This window comes from Homo sapiens, chromosome X, assembly GCF_000001405.40.
Source record: "Homo sapiens chromosome X, GRCh38.p14 Primary Assembly".
NCBI lineage: Eukaryota > Metazoa > Chordata > Mammalia > Primates > Hominidae > Homo > Homo sapiens.
The window spans coordinates 135,534,659-135,554,872 of record NC_000023.11 but is presented as its reverse complement, the minus strand read 5'-3'; the positions used below and the strand labels follow the sequence as shown (position 1 = coordinate 135,554,872).

The following is a 20,214-nucleotide window of genomic DNA, read 5'->3' as shown; positions in this document are numbered from 1 at the left end:
AGAGTAAACATTCAGTGAAGATTAAAACATTGATCTTAATTCCATATGACTATTTTCTTACTCCTTATTGATTTCCTGATGTGATTCCTGTATCATCAGCCCCCTTACAGTTGATATGTTGTACTGGGGTCCCCTAGCTGCCATGTTTTCTCTGTTCCATGTTCAGAGTCTTTGGTCCAAACCACCAATATATACTTTTAGAGACCTGGTCCTTTACTTTTCCAAAGTCCTTCGGCAGAATCATTTACAACAAAGTCGAACCTTGACATTTAACAGAATCCATTTACCTTGCTAGTTCTCAGTACTACCAATATCACCTACCAATTCACTACCTTCTTATAATATTATCACTAAGAATAAGTTGGTATAATTATGTAATGTAATTTATGTAATTTATGACCCCACAGAACATGAGTTGTACTAAAACATGAGTCTACTAGATTTTGTGTCATAATTTGAATGATAATAGAAACAGATAACTGCAATAAACCATGCTGGATTTTATTTCCTAAGTGTGTATATTAGAAGAGAGGAAAAATTCATCAAAGAAAGATAAAAAAAATCACATGCACAAGGCAGTCAAGGGTCAGATCTATGATTCCCATGAAAGGAAAAGCACTGAATTTTGTTTCTTTCTCTCTTTCTCTTTCCTACCTTCCTTGGCCCCTTGAGTTTTTCCAAATTCCTTATCAGCCACAGATTCATAGATTTTTAGGGTTCCAAAGGATCTTTAGAGCTAGTTCAGACAATGTAAGTCCCTCGTGCAAGGCCACATAGTTGGTGACAGAGCTAGGGTTAGGCTCCGGTCTCCATTGTGGTTTTGCCAAATTTCCTGGCTACTGGTTCATTTTATTCTTTTTCACTAACACTAATTCATCACATTAAGAATACTCTAAAAAAAGTAACATAAAGTACAGGAAAGAGGCATATGACATATTTAAGGGGTAGTGCAGAAGCAAGGACAGCATTTCTTAAGTTTCTCTGAAGAAGGTTTCCAAGAAATGTGCTATATAGAAAAGAGGGGTTATTTTAGGGAAAAGCTATAATTTGTAATTTTATTTGCTTTCATTATAAAAATGTTTTTCAACCCATAAATTCAAAGGTCATATCTTTATTTTAAATTAGCAATCTATTATCCATATCTCTACATTTCTAGCACTTTTGGGGTAAACTATAAGTATAGAGCTCAATGAATGCTCACAAAGTGAATGTACATGTGTAAACAGCACACGAGTCAAAAAACAGAATATGGCCAGGCACAATGGTTGATGCCATCATCCCGGCACTCTGGGAAGCCGAGGTGGGAGGATTGCTTGAGCCCAGGAGTTTGAGACCAGCCTGGGCAACACGGTGAGACTCCGTCTCTCTAAAAAAAAAAAAAAAAAAAAAAATTTAAAAAATTAGCCAGGAATTGTGGTGTGTGCCTGTAGTCCTAGCTCCTCTGTGGGGGGCTGAGGTGGGAGGATCGCTTTGCTTGAGCCAAGGAGGTCGAGGCTACAGTGAGCTGAGATTGTGTTACTGCACTCCACCCTGGGCAACAGGCTGGACGCTGTCTCAAAACAAAACAAAACAAAAAGAATGAAAGAAAGAAAGAGAACAAAACCAGACATCTCCTTGTGTCCTCTTCTGTCCACTACCTTGCATCCCCCCAAGAGAAACCACTATCCCGACTTCTAACAGAGTAAGTTAGTTTTATCTCTCTCTGAAAGTATATAACATAGAATCACACAATATGTAATCTTTTCTGTCTAGCTTCTTTGCTCAGTATTATGTTTGTGAGATTATTCTGTTTCTTGTGCTTTTACATTCTTGCTTTAATCCTGCTCCTTTTTTTCTAACTAGTTGTAGCATCTTGGGAGAATTTAAGTAGCTTACAGACAACTTGTAGCAATAATCTCACATTTTAAGATAAAACAGATGGCAGTCTGAAAGTGTTCCTTGCATAAATAGAGCCTAACAGTTACTGATTGCTATAGAGTCCTATATATTAATAGAAGTAGAACATACATCTCTACAGTTTAGAAATAGAACATACATCTTTACAGTGTAGGACATTTTTGTTGTATCCACATAAAAAGGCTGTGACTGCCATCTCTGAATTTTTACAAATTAAATTCCATAGGTGACTCTATTAACCAATCAGCAAATCCTTCTGGCTTAAGTGTAACACTTGGAAGAGCCAGTGTATGATAGATATCTCTATGCATTTGTCTCATCCAAGTTGCAAAATCCACATTACACACATTTTTTAGTGTGATTTGTACCACAGGACGAAGAGTTTTATTATATTACACTAATACAGAAATTAGTTTCAGGACTTATGGTTCTCTGCCTAAACTATCCTGTACTTCCAATCTGTCAAGTTCAAAGTAAGGGCTAAACACCTTGTTTCAGCTGCAGACGCCATACCTGAAGTGAAGTACAACCTTTAGATTAGGGATTCTTAAGCTGGGGTGCATGGGTAGACTTCAAGGGGTCCCCCAAATCTTCAAATATATAGGTTTCATCAGACTCTATTGCTTTAAATGGCAATGTACAGTAGACTAATGATTCATATTAGTCTGAAATTATTTGCCTGGCCCTGTTGCTTATTTGACAGCATTCATGAGAAACATCATTAGCACAGTCAGTCCAATTATTTTGAGAATAACCTTTGAAGCTTCTTAAAACAATTCCCAGATCCTAGAGTGGTTACAGACATTTAGCTAATAGGTAAGGATAAGTACCTGCCAGCAGGTATGGGGAGACTTTCGTTCCAAGATATACTGAGTTAAGGGCGAAGGTTCAAGTTCATATTTGTCAAAAGGAAGTTTGTCTATTACCATTGGCTCACAATCTACACAGGAGAACCTCACAACAGGATGAGATGTTCGTGGAGGCTAAAAAAAATTTTTTAAAAAAAGCAGAAAAAATGGTTAGGTCTCAAAGCAAGCTTATATTTCTGACAATTCTGCAAGTCGTTTTATATTTTGTTACATTTTCACTGAAATACAGACTAGCATTTTGAGAAAGAAGATTACTAGATCTCTAGGAACCACCAATGGCTTCCATGGGAGAGAGGGCTCAGATTCTTTACTATCTACTTGACATTAGGAAGAGGAAAGGTAAATTTCAACACTCATAACTAAAATTTCAGTGAATTGAAAAAAAACTGTTTTGAATATGTTTAAGAAGTGCTTATGATTGTAGGATGAATGTTGAATTTCAGATCTATTTTATGACCTCCAAGAATTGCCTGCCCTTCATTCCTTTGTACCATGAGGTTACAGATAGTCCAGATATGCTGGGAATGAAGAAATCCATGCAACTTTCTAATAAGGTAATGAGAGGGCTAAAGCCATGAACAAGCAAGATGAAAAATAGTAGAGGGATGGAGAGGGCAAGATAGAGACTGATAATAAGCTAGTCACAATGCCAGGGCCCAGATGGATTTTTGCAGCATTGCTAACACCAACGTGTTTGCCTTGAATAGCTGGAGCTGGGGATGCTTTGCGCTGGGCTTCGAAGGCCTGTGTACCTGGGGTGCTGGAGCAGATTAATGGAGAAGCCATTTAAGTAACAGGTTTAGCTTGTGTGATTGGAGAGCACCAGAGAGAGAAAGGCGAACAGCAAGGGCAATATGGAGAGAGAGGGACACAGGACAAGTCCCAGAGACAAAGTAAGAAGTGGGTCAGCCTATTCTTGTTGCGAAACCTGTAAAGCTAATATGAATATGATAAAATATCACTGCTTCCTTTATAAAAAATGAAAACATATTCACTTGCCTTTATAGTTTACAATTATAAGATGTTTGGGGGTTGAGAAAAATAGCTCTTAAATGAACTTTTAAAGATGGAGGAATGGTAACATGAGCTATGTGTGAATTACTTGGAATGTCTTATTCTATTTTGTTTTTTCCCAACTTAGTTTTAATTAACTTGTGAAAGGTTTCTGACTCCTTAGATTTGAACAGGTAAAAATGTCATAAAGACATGAATGAAGACTTGTTGCTAGCAAAAATGAAGTAAATTTGCCATAAAGCCTGTACTCGAGTTTGGAAGGGCTGAGGTTTCACAGGTGTAACACCTTGAAGCCCTGAGGAGAGGAGTGGGACGTTTACCCTCACCCACAGCAGGGGCCAAAAGGGCTCTTCAGTCTTACATTCAGGTCTTTCATGGCCACTTCTGAAAAAAGGGCAGAAGCCTAAAAGCAGTAATCCAGGAGAAAATGCAATTCACTGTCAGAAATTTCTAAAACTGAGACAGAATATAGATGAACTGAACTAGGAAGATGTTAAATAGAAGAAGTAGTGATTTGTTTGTGTCCCCTCCTGAGCCCACACAAGGGAGATTACTCAGGCCCTCTTACAATTTGGGGAAGGGGAAAGAAGACAAAAGAGAGTGGGTTTCATACCGTCTCCTTTATTACTAGACACTGCCCTCCCTCCAAAAAAAAAAAAAAAAGCCAATTGATCTGGCACTGGGAGCAACTGTAATAGCAAAGCCTCTCCTACCAAATGCAGTGACCAAAAAGACAAGTCCTTGCTTAGAGATTATTTTTTAAATATTGCTTAATTACCCATCATTGAAAGGTATATTGCTACAAAAGTCCATTGATTACAAAAAGATGAAAAGTAGGAAGAAGTAGAATTTTGAATATGATTTTAATATGTTCCCAGAACCTATCCAAGGTGTAAACTATGTTCAAACTTCCTGAGGCTGTGCATGAAAACCAAGGCCAGTACATTTTAGACGTTGTGTTTGCCACGTAAATCAAGTCAGCTGCTCTGAAATGAAAACCAAGTAACAGATTATAACAGCATCAAAAACAGCAATGTTTTAACATCCAAAAAGGGCAGCTCAAGTGGCGAAGGCAACTGAAGAATGACAAGTATCAGAAAATAAAGGAAGTCCTCCTTTGCTTTTAGGCACAAAGCTAGACTTCCAGTAAGAGATAGAAGGCAAAGGAGGGAAGACTTACTTGCCTGTGGCATGGCATAAAGGCCTCAAAGCTATTTTAAAAGGTTCACTGTAATCAGAAAATTGAAAATCCAGAATGATGTTTACCTTTTTATTTTATGACACTTACTAGTGAAGGTAAATTCTGATCTGGCCAAAAAGATTCTGGAATTGGCCAATGTCCAACAGGAACACCAGTTTTAGAGTTAGGTCGTACATAAATGAGTTTATGACAACTATGCCATGGCTGAGCAGCAAATGAATTGCTTGGCCTGGATGAATCCATAAGTCCATCTAAAAGTTAAACAAAAGACAAACTAAGGCGTGAGTTTCTTTTTACAGCTGCTGATCTTCTTGTACAAATTTTCCAGCTGAAAGCAAAGTCCAAAATAAAACAAGAACAATGATTCATGAAAAATGGAAGAAGAAAAAAAAGTGACTCTACTAGGATTTCTAAATGTTCTCTCTAGCAACTCTTTTCGTCTAATCCATCTCTTCTAACCCAACACCCACCCCACCATTCTTAACCTAGTAAGAGAATATGCAGTTATGCAGAAAACTATGGTAAAACTAGTTTTAAATTTTCTGAGACTCGTACACATAAATTAAAAACATCAAAACACTACAGTTATTTTTCAAGAATTCAATTACTAAATTAGGCAAATGAAATTGTTCACTCCCTGGTATAGTTTTTACATTTCTGGAGTCTGATAAAAATAGATCATAAATTCCATTTATATATTCTTTCTATTTCCAAATACAAGAAAAAAGTGTTCTTTGCCAAACAATTAGACCCAATGACCACAAAGGCAAAATAAAAACTAGCCAAATTCACTTAAAGATAGAAGAAATGCAGACAATGTGTATATAGTTGAGGGGAGCACAAAGCAAACACATCAAGTTTATCGTGGACTAATTCACTATGGTTTCTCCATCCACCATCAAAATTCCATGGACAATGGGTGTTGTATAATGCTGAATAATGTATCCTGAATGCATTTTAATGATTTAAACTAGCATATTTCATTTCCTTCCTCCTTCTCCCCCCGCCTCAAATCAGGGCAAGGCAGAGTTATATAAACTTTTAATGATAATATTTGTAAAAGATATGCTTTAATGATTTGAGTCTCATTTTTCTTAAATTATCAGTCATTTGAATAACTTATTTAAGCATTACTTTAAACAAGTAATTTCTTTAGACTAGGAGATTTAATGGGTCCACTGTGCAGTAGGGAAAAAAAGTGTAATGGCTTTGGAGGATCCCCCCAAAGTTGAGCTCACAATTCTGACAATGTGTATTTTTCTGAGGAAAGGGTTCTTAACTTTCATCAGAACCTGAAAGGTTAAGAACTCTGGACAAAGGAGAACTGGAGCTAGAAAAAAAATCTGTGCCATTTACATGACACCAAATCCTACTAGAATTTCAATATGTAAGTTCCCAGTTTATGCTAAGATAGTGAGCACGAAATTTTGGATTGCTAGCAGTATAACATGGCCTTCCTACACAGTTAATTTAAAATAGGCTGTGGGGCCTCAGTCTTTTATGGCAGATGTTCTTAACTTGGAGGCCCAAAAAACCCCTGAGATTATATACAAAATTGTGAATGTGTCACTTATGTCTGTATTTATAGGGAAAGGGGTCTATATTTTTTCCAACAGCTTCTCAAAAGGATGGGGAACTAAAGAGCAAAACAACAACAATAACAACAACAACAAAAGATCAGGAGCCACAGGATCCACTGCTTCAGACAGAAATGTGTAGCTTTCTGCCCTTATGCATTTGACCCCTTTGTTCTTCGTCAAGGCAATTAAAACATATAAATCAGGCTAGACAATCACTGTGGTAATAATAATGGAGTGTGTGTGTGTATATATATATATATATATACACTTACACATTTACATACATATACACATAGACTTTCTAGGAGCTCTGTTCTTGCAGTGCATTACCATGGAAGTCTTGCAATGCGTTGCCATGGTGCTTGTTTAGTTCCCTGATCCCTTTGAAATTCATTTGCATTCAAGTGATTACAAACATCCATTCACAAACCATCTAGAGATTCACTACGATTTAACTTCCCCTATGCAAAAGTCACCCTACTTTCATCAAGTTTTGGATGTCGAACTTTCTGTGAAATCTCATTTGGAGAAAAGGTTGCTCAACTCTTAACTTCAGAGTGAAAAAGTGACCGGGAAAATACTAGTGTAGGATCTTAGAGAAGATGAGCAGTTCCTGGATAAACATTCATAATTTCTTGCTGAGGTGCAGAAACTAACACATATTTCGTAAAGATGGCTTAGCATATTTGGCACTCACAAAACCAAAACAAGATTATTATTTAAGTGTACACCATAGTGAATCTCCAGACATTTTGTGAATAGAGAGGTGAATGAGTCAGTGCCATCCAAAGACTGGGACCAGGGAATATAAAATGCACCAGGAAAAGGAAACACGTTCTTAGGAACATTCAACATGAAATTAAAGTTGTTAGAATTTGGCCACCTGATACATATACATAGGCAGTGAATGTGTGGTAGTTGTTTGGATGTATGTTTGTAACCACTCAAATGCACGTGGATAGTGAAGACTGTGTCTATAGTAATTTATTTAATGTCTTCTCATTCTCCTATATAACACTTTAGGGTTAAAAAAGTTATCTACTATACCTTCTCCAATAGGAAGTGGATCTGGTCCTGTTTTTTCAAAATTAATAACTACACCACTCTGAACTTTTTGAACTAGAGATTCTAAACATTGATTCAACATTCTTTGTGTTCTCACACAGTAGGAGCGACCTATCCCAGAAGGAAAAATAAATAGCACAAGTTTGATCAAATATAATTTCATAATATAAGCATTTTAAAATCCTAAAATATAACTTGAAATAATCATAACTACATTGGCAGCAAATATACCAATGATGACCTTAAGCAACAGAGTTAAAAGGCTTTGAAGGAAAACAAGTAAAGACTGGATATGGCATTTAATGAAAAATATACTCTATGCTCTGAATTTTTCCTTCAGAAACATTAAATATTGCCAATACCTCCTGTGACTTCACACATCTGTGTGATGGCAGATTCATCAGTTGGTACGCTCCCTAGTTGCTCTGGTTCGGTAGAAGCCACTCCAGGCAAACGCAACACCAGGGCAAATAACCTTTGATCCCAACGAAAAGGTTCTTTGGTTAGTTCACTTCCAGGCAGAGGGGAATTCAAAGGAAGATGGAGCTGATAAGGCAAAAATGTGAAAAGGTTCATCATAACAAACCATATAAAAATGAAGAAAGAATTAAAGGGTTGACTTTTTCTTTCATGTAACTCAATAAAATTAAGCAGTCTTTCAAGGATTACCAAGATGGATGATTTGACCAAACTTACTGTTAACTGGAAATGCCTCCCACAGAAATAGCTGCATGTTCCCTGCCATTTAAACAAAATTAAAAAAAAAATAAAATCTCACCTCTTCTTGAACACCAGCAGTACTTGTTAACTTGTTTCCATCTGTGATGGTAATTAAAATAGATGGTTCTAAAAAAAATGGATTTCTCCCCTAAAATACATTTAAAAAGCATTAGAGCCATGTAAAGTAATAAAAGTATATTTAAATTTTTATATTTGCCTTGCCAATGATCTCTCAAGAATATGATAAAATTTGTCTGGATAAATAAGGAAGAAATGACCAGGGAACGAAATGGGTAGGAATAAAAATAACAACCCCTGAAGAGGTAACATTCAGTATAAACTGAGGAATTCTTATAATTCAGGAACTCCCCAAACCATTAACATTCAAATACCTCTCTCACTCTGCTTTCCAAGTAATCACAAAATAATATTACAAGATTACTGGCATTATCATCCACTCTCATGAATCCATTCACTTAAGTCAAAATCCTGGCACAGATAGGACACTAGTGACTTGCGTGCTGCAACCTGGAGAGTGACTCTGGTTACTGTGAGCACAGACTTTAGAGGAGGAAAGGACAATGGGAGCAACAGCAAATGCTACTCTGCCTTCTTATCCTAGAGCTTTTTCATCAAATTGGGAGGGGCAGAGGAGTTAAGGACACTGAAAGTTTCTTTCCAATTGTCTTGTTCCGATATTTCTCAGCCGTTTATTCACATCATTCTCAAACATCTGATTATCTCATGGTAGACAATTTTAGCTATTCTATTATCAAGCCATATACAAGAACCAAAAGAAGAGGGATTTTTAAAAAGTATATATTTAAAAGGTAATAAGAATCTCATTTTTGGAGGTTATGAAAAGTAGCAGAAAACTTAGTAATCATGCCCAATTTTAAATTCTTACCCCAAGCCACCAAAATAAATTAGCTGTACTCACTCAAATTATTTTTACCTGTCCATAATTGTCTATTCCAGATATTAATCTATTGAGATTTAACAAATCAAATGAGGATCTTAGAGCCTGACCGAGAGTAGTCAGTCCAGAAGCCTGAAGATTTTTTAGTTCGCTCATGAATGTTGCATGATTTTCCTTCCAACCAGCCTGCAAACCAAACATTTACAAAGAATTTCTTGATTATACAATGAACAATATATAAAGTACAATCACTAAACAGCAAGTATCAAAACTCTAAGAAATTAACCACTCTTTAACCTAATTCTATTCTATATCTTCACTGATCAGGTAGAACTAAAGCAAGCAGTTTCGGAAAGACCTGCTAGCTCTAATGATCAAGCGCAAAGAACTGAAGCAAAAAATACTTCGTCCATTATGGCTGAAGGACTGTGGCTCAAGAGGTCCAGTTTTCTGTTCAGGCTCAACCAAACCTGCCAACACACCTGTTACCCTAGCTTCACATTGATGGTGAGCATGGAGTAAGGGGCAGAGGAAGGAGTAGTTATTTTTTAAATGCATTGTCCTTGGTAAAGACAATTAGCTATATTGACTGTCTGAGCTACATTAATTCTTCTAACCAAGATTCTTCCACCGAAGCAATATTTTCACTTTTAAGCAAGAGTAAAGAGGGAGTAATAGGAATAGAGCCACACTTATTTGGATATAACCCTTCTGGTATCTTCAAGCATTCAGAAAGCCCAAGATCTAGAATAAAGGGAGAAAGAAAAAGAAACAAAAAGTTTTGGCAAAGAAGCAGCATCCCCTAGCCACGCCCAGCAGCTATGAACAGCAGCAAACAACCAAAGATCCAAGGTCAACAGCCAACATGCTGTGATTGATTGGTTTGTAGAATAGAAGGAAGGAAAGGATCGTGCTGACTGGTCTGAGATGGGTATAAAAACAAAGCAGCAAAAAGTGCTGAGAAGAGAAGCTAAAAGAAGAAGGTGGCAGCTAACAGGAAGTCACAGAGGAATGGGCCAGCAAGAAAGAGAGAAGACAGCACAGCGTGGCAACAGAGTGGAACAGCCACTTGAGTCTCGGTGAGCCTGAGAGCAGCAGTGTGATATGCTAAATGCTGAAGTTATGCCAACCAGGCCAGTACAGCTAGAGGTGGAAAACAAGAGCAAATGATACCGAGATAAACCAAACCATTTGAATTTCACATTTAGCTGAAGGCATATAGTCCATTATCCATGCAACTACATCAAACACTCTTTTCTGGTTTCATGGTCTTCCAGAGCAATTTGGATTAGTAGAATGACTGGGAAGTAAGAAAGGGGGCAGGTTATTGGCTATGAACCCTGTTATGAAATACCTGTGTGACCTTGAGCAAACCAGTTGGCTTCTTAGGACCTAAGCTGAAAAGGAGGATGATCTGATAAGCAGGGACACTGTATAAGGCTGAGAATGATACCACCTTGCAGTCATTCACATCATAATCTGTGAGAGTGGCGCCCCCTAGGGTTAAACAGAACACAACCTGCATAACCCTTCAAGGTGAAGGTGATCTTGGTTAAGATTCACTCCAGGTCCAATAGCTGGCAATTCTTGTGAAATTAAAGATGTGCTTAGTTTGTTGTCTTTTATTTTAATGTTCCTAACATATCCTATAGGTCGAAGCATTTAAAGGTTAAAACTTTCCAGGTGCTCCTTTGGCCAAATTGTATATATGACTTTTAGTACTGGAAATATAGGGAATGAGAATAACTCTTTATGGCCCAAGGAAAATCTTATTGGACTAGATAAACTGAACTTTAGTGAAAAGGAAGCATTATGATTTAAAGTATCTTTTCAAATACCTGGAACTATCAGTAGTTGATTATAAATCACACTGAATTAGGAAATTAGATTTCTTCTTTGGGGTAGAAGAGAAAGGTGTACATTTGGGTGGAGAGGATCAATTTTTTCATGTATTTATTCAACAGATTTTTTACTGACAAACTATGCTATACTTGGCAGAATGCTACGTGCTGGGGATATAGAGAGGAATTAGCTCTTGAGGGGTTCCTGCCACAAAGGAATAAGAGATGCACTTATGGAGACTGAAAGAACAAGTGACCAGAGAGTGAGGGAAGGCTTCTCACTGAAAGTGGGACATTTGAGAAATACTGATGGGATGGAGTGAAGATCATGAGACTCACTGATGTGAGGGGTGGAGGGGACTGTGCAAGGGAAGAGAACAGATAAAAGGATAGGACTTACTTGAGAACCACCAGTAATCTGATTATCATTGCTCTGGGCACATGGCAGGAGGCAAGGCTGATTAAGATAATTTGGGCTCTGACTATAAAGTGCTTTGTACACCATGCTCAGCAGTTTGGATTTTATCTGCTGGCCCTGGGAAGAACTCAAGGTTTTAAATCCGGGGAGTGGTATGATCAGATCTTTATTTTACTAAGATCTCTGCTGGTAGTTGGAGAATAAATTGTGGGGTGGAGGGGAGGCTGAAGCTTGAGGCAGGGAAACTGGTTTGGAGACTGCTGAAAGAGCTTACGAGAAAAGTGATGAAAGGCTGAGTTAGGGCAGTGGGGATGGAGAGGAGGTTGCAGATTAAGGAAGTATTTCAGAGGAGGAGTCCTAAGGATTTAGTAGCTAATTAGAGGGACAGGTGAGAAAGAAAAGGTCATGCATTATGTTGAAGTTTCTGGCTTTGGCAAACTTGTAAATGGTGGGCGGGGGTCCTTTACCCTGAAGCCATTATATAAAATTGATTCTTGTTTTTGGAGTCACTTCGTTTAGCAATCTTATTTCCACACTGGTAACAAAGGTTATATATTAAATTTGAACACCTGAAGGGCCATGTGGTAGTTCAAGGTATAATTTTTAAAAATTAGTGGACTATTTGGTTTGGTAAAGGGCTAGGATAAGATTTGGGTACCACTTTATGACTCATCTTTATTTAAAATAATGTGTCCTTATCGTTAGTGGTGCTATTCACCAATCTGTCAGAATACAGAATATGAAATGAAAGCATTTTACAAATATTAATAGTTTCCTTCCTTCCTTCCTTCCTTCCCCTCCCTCCCTTCTCTCCTTCTCTCTCTCTCTTTTTCTTTTTCTTTCCTTTTTTTTGAGATGGAGTCTCACTCTGTAGCCCAAGCTGGGGTGCAGTGGCACGATCTCGGCTCACTGCAACCTCCACCTCCCAGGTTCAAGCGATTCTTGTGCCTCAGCCTCCTGAGTAGCTGGGACTACAAGCGTGTGCCACCATGCCTGGCTAATTTTTTATATTTTAGTATATTCAGGGTTTCACCATGTTGCCCAGGGCAGTCTTGAACTCCTGAGCTCAGGTGATCTGCCTGCCTTGGCCTCCTAAAGTGCTGTGATTACAGGTGTGAGCCACTGCGCCCGGCCCAAATATTAATAGTTTCTGTATCTAAATCTCTGACATTGTTTGTAGGTTAATTCCTATTCTTTGCAATGAATTGGATGATATGGGAAATTTTAATGCCACTCCTACCTCAGTACTACAAAGTATGTAGGCTACATTTACTACCAAGAGCAATGAACTCTTTGGTAGGGGTCCAGCTCCCTATATCAAGAGAAGAACCAAATGTCCCTATGTCCATTGCTCAACATGCTGAAGGAAAAAAGGCCCACAGATTTATTGAAGTATTTAGAGAATCTTATTAATGTGATAAATTTCTACCAAAAAGATAATTATAAAGAGATAGTGAGTATACATTTACACTCTCCATTCATTGCTTAGAGTTAATTTTTTTCACAAATGAATTCAGGACAGCTAATTTGCCTCCTTAATATGGGTTTTTCTTTTAAATTACTTTACTCCAAAGATATTGTATTCTTATGTTAGTAAAAACCTTCACTCCTGATAATAACTTCCATACATTCTTACAGAACTTTACTGCTTACAAAGCACTTTCACACTTCACATTGGCTTAGGACAACCCTATAAAATAGGCATGGCATTAACATCCCTATTTTAACAAACAAGGAAGAAGTGAAACATAGTTATGTCTTGTTTATGTGGTGGCAAGTCACATTCTACAGCTGCACTATCTGATACAGTGGCTTTTATCTACATGTGGTTATTTAACACTTGATGTGTGGCTAGTTTGGATCGAGATGTGATGTAAGTATAGAATGCATTTGGCATTTTGAGGATGCAGAACAAAAAATGCCAAAATCTCATTATTTTTGTATTGATTACATGTTGAAATGATAATGTCTTGGATATTTTTGGTTACATAAAATATTTTAGTAAAATTAATTTTACCTGTTTTTACTTTTTAATGTGGCTAGTAGAAATTTTTAAATTATGTGTATGACTGACATTATATTTCTATTGGACACTGACGTTCCTAAAAGACCTGAAGGTCAGGTATGAGAGCCTGGCCTTAAAGCAGCAGACAGTAGACACACTACAGAATCCAAGGCAGGGGTAAACAGGAAAATCAGTCTGATAGTGACATACAGGACAGCCTGCAGGAAAGTGAAGCTGTAGTCAGAAGAAGCTAGGAGGTTTGAGGCCAGGCGCGATGGCTCACACCTGTAATCCCAACACTTTGGGAGGCCAAGGCCGGCACATTGCTTGAGCTCAGGAGTTCGAGACCAGCCTAGGCAACATGGCAAGACCCTGTCTCTACCAAAAATACACACACACAAAAATAGCCGGGTATGGTGATGTGCACCTGTGGTCCCAGCTACTCAGAAGGCTGAGGCGGGAAGATCACTTGAGCCCAGGAGGTGGAGGCCGCAGTGTGCCATGATCATGCCACTGCACTCCATCATGCCACTGCACTCCAGCCTGGGTGACAGAACCAGGCCCTGTCTCAAAAAAAAGGGGGTGGGAGGAGGAGGGGGAGGAAGAGGAGGAGGAGGAGGAGGAGGAGCAGCTAGGAGGCTTGAATAGTAAGCCACACCTGGGGAATCAAGACCTGAATTAGGATGGAAATGCAGATGAAAGAGTTAAATGAGAAACATGTGAAACAAATAGGACAGACTTGGTGATAGAGCATGAGGCCAAAGGATAGACAGTAAAAGATGATTACAAGAGGCCTAAAGAATGGAGGTTTAGGACAAAGGAGTAACTTAGGATGGGTAGAATCCTAAGCTAAGGGTTTATTATCTTCACAGGTCAAATTTTAAGTCTCTCCAAGGTAAAATAATCATGATGATGACTAATGATAGCTAATATTTATCAGTGCTTATATGTTAGGAACTCACTTATACTAAGCATAGCATGTAATATACATCCTTCTTACATGAACCTCACAACCACCCTCTGGGTAGGTGCTGTTACTATCTTCACTTTATACATGAGGATACTGAGGCTTGGGAAAGCGAGGTAACTTGTCCAGGCCAGACAACTAGGAAATGGCACAGCCAAGATTTGAATCCAGATAGCCTAACTTCAGAGCCCACCAATTTAAACCACTCTTCCACACATTATGTATATTGGCATTCCTCATTTTATGGTGCTTTGCTTTATTGCACCACACAGATATTGCATTTTTTACAAATTGAATGTTTGTGGCAGCCCTGTATTATCAGTGCCATTTTTCCAACAGCATGTGCTCACTTTGTGTTTCTCTGTTACATTTTGGTAATTTTTGCAATATTTCTAACTTTTTCATTATTATTATATCTTTTATGGTGATCTATGATCAGTGAGCTTTGATGTTACTATTGTAATTATTTTGGGGCACCATGAACCATACCCACATAAGAGGGCAGTGAACTTAATCGATAAATGTTGTATGTGTCCTAACTGCTCCATCGACCAGCTGTTCCCTATCTCTCTCCCTCTCCTCAGGCCTCCCTATTCCTTGAGACACAACAATATTGAAATCAGGCCAATTAGTGACCCTACAATGGACTCTTAAGCGTTCAAGTGAAAGGAACAGTTGCACTTCTCTCGCTTTAAATCAAAAGCTAGAAATGATTAAACTTAGTGAGGAAGGCATGTCGAAAGCTGAGATAGCTAGGCCTCTTGCACCAGTTAGCCACGTTGTGAATACAAAGGAAGCTCTTGAAGAAAATTTAAAATGCTACTTCAGGAAACACAGGAGTAAGAAGAAAAACAGCCACATTGCCGAGATGGAGAAAGACTTAGTGGTCTGGATAGAAGATCAAATCAGCTACAACATTCCCTTAAACCAAAGCCTAATCCAGAGCAAGGCCCTAACTCTTCCTAGAGTTGATGGAATGAATCTTCAACTCTATGAAGGCTGAGAGAGGTGAGGAAGCTGCAGAAGAAAACTTTGAAGCTAGAAGAAGCAGCCACTTCCATGTCATAAAAGTGCAAGGTGAAGCAGCAGGTGCTGATATAGAAGCTGTAGCAAGTTATCCAGAAGATCTAGCTAAGATCACTGATGAGATTGGCTACACTAAACAACAGATTTTCAATGTAGATGAAGCGGACTTCTATAGGAAGAAGATGCAATCTAGGACTTTCATAATTTGAAAGGAGAAGTCAATGCCTGACTTCAAAGCCTCAAAGGACAGGCTGACTTTTTGTTAGAGGCTAATGCAGCTGGCGACTTTAAGCTGAAGCCAACATTCATTTGCCATCCTGAAAATCCAAGGGCCCTTAAGAATTATGCTACATCTACTCTGCCTGTGCTTTAGCAATGGAACAACAAAACCTGGATGACAGCACATCTGTTTACAGCATGGTTTACCGAATATTTTAAGCCCTCTTTTGAGACCTAATGCTCAGGAAAAAAGATTCATTTCAAAATACTATTGATCATCGACAATGCACCTGGCCACCCAAGAGCCCTGATGTAGATGTACAAGGAGATCAATGTTGTTGTCATGCCTGCTAACACAACATCCATTCTGCAGCCCGTGGGTGAAGGAGTCATTTTGACTTTCAAGTTTTATTATTTAAAAAATACATTTTGTAAGGCTATTAAGAAGTACATTTTGTAGGGCTATAGCTGCCATAGATAGTGATTCCTGTGATGCGTCTGGGAAAAGTTGAAAACCTTCTGGGAATGATTCAACATTCTAGACGACATTAAGAACATTCGTGATTCATGGGAGGAGGTCAAAATACCAACATTAGCAGGAGTTTGGAAGAAGGTGATTCCAACCTTCATGGATGACTTTAAGGGGTTCAAAACTCCAGTGGAGGAAGTAACTGCATAAGTGGTAGAAAGAGCATGAGAACTAGATTTAGAAGTGAAGCTAAGGATGTGACTGAATTGCTTCAATCTCATAATAAAACTTTAATGAATGAGTTGTTTCTTATGAATAACCAAATAAAGTGGTTTCCTGAGATGGAATCTACTCATGGTGAAGATGTTGTGAACATTGTTGAAATGACAACAAAGGATTTACAATATTATATAAACTGAGTTTATACATCAGTGGCAGAGTTTGAGGATGGACTCCAATAAAAGAAAATAGAAAGAAGTTCTACTGTGGGTAAAATGTTATCAAAAAGCACTGCATGCTTCAGAGAAAACTTTCCTGAAAGGAAGCGTTCACCGATGCGGTAAAGTTCATAGTTGTCTTATTTTAAGAAATTGCCACAGCCACCCCCATCCTTCAGCAACAACTGCCCTGATCACTCAGCAGCCATCAACATCAAGGCAAGACTGTCCACCAGCAAAAAGATTATGACTGGCTGAAAGCTCAGTTGATCATTAACATTTTTTTAGCAACAAAGTATTTTAAATTAAGGTGTATACATTGTTTTTTAGACATAATGCTATTGCACACTTAATAGACTACAGTATAGTGTAAACATAATTTTTCCATGAATTGGGAAAGCAAAAAATTCTTGTGACTCACTTCATTGTGGTGGTCTGGGAATTGAACCTGCACTATCTTCATGGTAAGCCTATATTCACTTCACAAATATGTCTTGTTAGATTAGTTTATAAGTTTAATAAATTTTTCAAATTTCATTTTAATTTAAGCCTACTTTCCCTGACATCTAAGTACAGAACAATTAGGTGTGGGGAACAGTGAATTAAGAATTAGAAGGGCCTAGTCTATTCCTAGCTGTCACTAACTCGCTTGGCAAGTGGTCTAGAGTAAGTCACTTAATCCCACTGTGGCTGTTTCCTCACCCAAGGAATGAAAGGGCTGAAAAACCAACTCTAAGGTCCCTTGCAGTTTTTATATCCTATAATTCTATACGTTCCTTTAATATAAATCAGACTTATGTATCTTATAATTCTACACCCTGTAACAATCCTTCATGTAAATCTGACTTACAGAAAGAGAACACCTCCTGTCTCAATAAATGTTAATTCAATATGTTAATTCAGATCGGGTTTAAGTTTCCATAGTCAACTAAAAATGTCTTTTCATACCAACAGAAAAACATGGGCCTTTCTATCAGTGACCTGGGTTCTTGTCCCAGCTTGATCTGACTAGCCACTAGCTATTTATTCTCCACTTACATCACCACAGGAAGGAGAGAATTTGCACTTTTCTCCTCAGAAGGGCAAAGCCTAAAAGCAATATTTTCTATTACCCTCTGCACCCACATTTCCACCTTCTCATCTGACTGGTTGGTTTGCAAACAGGAAACTGGCATGCTCTCTGCAGGCCTGTTGCTGAAGCTCTTTTGAATATTCTGGTATGTTCTCTGACATGTGGTGCTAAAGGGGTAGGTTCCACCCCTACAACAGACCCATAGGGTAGGTCTGTCAATATGTGAACTACTTGGAAGCTTTTCAGAACACACATGTAGGCTACATCCTTTCCTCCAGCTTTGATCAGGAATAAAGCTGTAATTTGGAACTCTGGCTGGCTTCTGTGTCTTACTTCTCAATAGATTTCAAGTGGAGGAGGGAAATGAAGGAGTGTTATTTAGTGGCTCCCCTAAACTTTAGTATCCCTCAGTATCCTAATACTGAACTTCATCCCATTTTAGCCAGGCCATTTCTCCGATTCATTAATTTTCATTGATTTTTATTTTTTTTAAATAGAGAAGCCTTTTCCTCCATTGAAATCTTGCCAGGAACTAAGAACAAGTAAAAGAGATAAAAGCAGATCAACTGTCCTCGAAGGGGATGTGGGAGTGGTGTTAGAGGCCTTTCTGAAAAACTCCTGTTCTATCTCTAAAGGTCACTTGTAATCCTTTTCCAAAATGTTAGCGACCTTACTAATATTTGGAAAATGGTATAATGTTATAACACAGTATAATGTACAAGTTTAATAAACATGCTGTTAATTTCCCCAGCCAAGGTAACCGATAAAGATATTTAGGGCAGCTGTACCTAACTTTCCACAAGAAAAGTAACCCTTACAAACTGTATGTGAATTGACTATTTATAAATAAAAAAAAATAGTTGAATGATTAATATTCTCTAGGGTGGTAGCTATTTAAAGGGACTGGCAATGAATCTTTCCAAACAGTAAAAAGAATCCTTGTACGTTATGAATTTTCACAAGCCAGGCTCCTTCACACAGCAGTGACAAAACTTCTTGCTGGGAGGCTCCATTTGTGGTGTCCCCCTGACTTGGTGCTGAGCCACTGCACTGACCTGTTTTAGGCACATACATCCTGCAGCCTATCTGGACATTCCCCTGAGGAGCAGTGCAGTCCAGTCCAAATCTTCCTAGCTTGTTAGCAAGCTCTTCACAATGAATGAAGGAAAACCTTGTTGACATCCAGAAAGCCAATGCATGTTGCTTTCCTCTCCTTGACAAGACTTTTTATCTTTTATTAAAGGAAATTAAATCAGCCTGGTAATATCTGCCATTTGTAAGCCCATGTTAGAGGTCTATCCTGGACATTGGGCTCTTCTAGGTGGTTATACAAACTAAATGATTAACAGATTTGAGTATTTTCCCAGATGTCACAAGTTAAAGCCAGAGTCTAAATTTAGCAGGGCCATCATTTCTCTTGTTGAAAGATAAACTATTTTCCTTTTTCCATCTGCTCTCCATAAGTTTGGGGAAAACTTGCTCTGAAACAACCCAGAAAATTTGCATAAATCAATTCCAACAGTATTTTTCAACCAACTCACTTTCTTCTTCAACTTAGCATTCTGTCATCTCTGTCATCACAAACTGTTCCTGCATTGGTAAACTCACCAGTGAGATGGAATGACATGAAAAATAAGAAGCCCTGCTTTTCCAATCATCTCTGTCTCCCGAGGAGACAAATGACTTTTCTCTTGGTCTTTGCCCTGAATATTTGGGCAAGTTAAAACTTCTCAACTTCAGGAATTTTCTTCTCACAATTAAAATGGACTCCAATTCTGATAACAAAGACAAGGTTTACTTGCTCTCTTAGGTAACAGAACACTGTGACAGCTGAATCACCTTAAACTGTTGAAATATCTTTGTAAAATGATTTTTACAGCTAGCACACCTATAAAGGAGGTTGTTACAATTATAAAGTACACACTAAGAATACATTATATCATTATAAGAATGGAACTGTCTTCCTTCTTGTACCTCCCCTAAAAACTTCCTTCTTGCTTATATTTTCTGACCCTGACACAACTTTTTCCCTGATACTCCAACAATTTGGCCAGATTTCACTTTTTTTGTGCTTTTCTCACTTTACTCAAGGTACTAATATACTTCAACGCTCAAAGGAGGTATTTTAGTGTTCTGTGTTTTAAATGTATAGTGTAGCTTTAAAATTACTTTTTAAAGGATAGCCAGGCTGGGTGCAGTGGCTCACACCTGTAATCCCAACACTTTGGGAGGCTGAGGAGAGAGGATCACTGGAGCCCACGAGTTCAAGATCAGCCTGGGCAACACAGCGAGACTCCTCTCTCTACAAAAAATTAACATACAAATTAGCCAACCATAGTGGCATGTGTTTGTAGCCCCAAGTGGTAATCGCTTGAACCCAGGAGTTCAAGGCTACAGTGAGCTACGATAACGCCACTACACCCTAGCCTGGGTGTCAGAGCAAGACTCTATTTAAAAAAAAAAAAAAAAAAAGAAAAGAAAAACCAGTTCTCTTGG

General features: G+C 38.3%; 1 protein-coding gene across 26 annotated transcripts in view, besides 1 other annotated feature; it reads right to left on the bottom strand.

The window, feature by feature from the left end:
- Window positions 1-20,214, bottom strand: part of INTS6L (integrator complex subunit 6 like) — a 61,851-nt gene that overhangs the window by 27,638 nt on the left and 13,999 nt on the right. For 23 of the 26 annotated variants that reach the window (NR_147256.3, XR_007068183.1, XR_001755668.2 and 20 more), the window contains 6 exons: window positions 9,301-9,450; window positions 8,404-8,493; window positions 7,988-8,171; window positions 7,608-7,736; window positions 5,068-5,231; window positions 2,727-2,879 (listed from right to left, as the gene is read on the bottom strand). Coding sequence is in view for 22 of the 26 variants with exons in the window: in NM_001351601.3 (NP_001338530.1) it covers window positions 2,727-2,879; window positions 5,068-5,231; window positions 7,608-7,736; window positions 7,988-8,171; window positions 8,404-8,493; window positions 9,301-9,450 (870 nt within the window). In the remaining 4 variants the exon portion in view is untranslated. Of the gene's footprint in view, window positions 1-2,726; window positions 2,880-5,067; window positions 5,232-7,607; window positions 7,737-7,987; window positions 8,172-8,403; window positions 8,494-9,285; window positions 9,451-20,214 lie in introns of those variants that run through there. The other 3 variants (NM_001351606.3, XM_047441911.1, XM_017029349.2) reach the window with 3 other exon arrangements.
- Window positions 10,101-10,180: an enhancer, noted in NCBI's record as "active region_29984". NCBI's record gives its function as "activates an Ori minimal core promoter by ATAC-STARR-seq in GM12878 lymphoblastoid cells {active_cell/tissue: GM12878}" and the evidence as "EXISTENCE:reporter gene assay evidence [ECO:0000049][PMID:35858748]".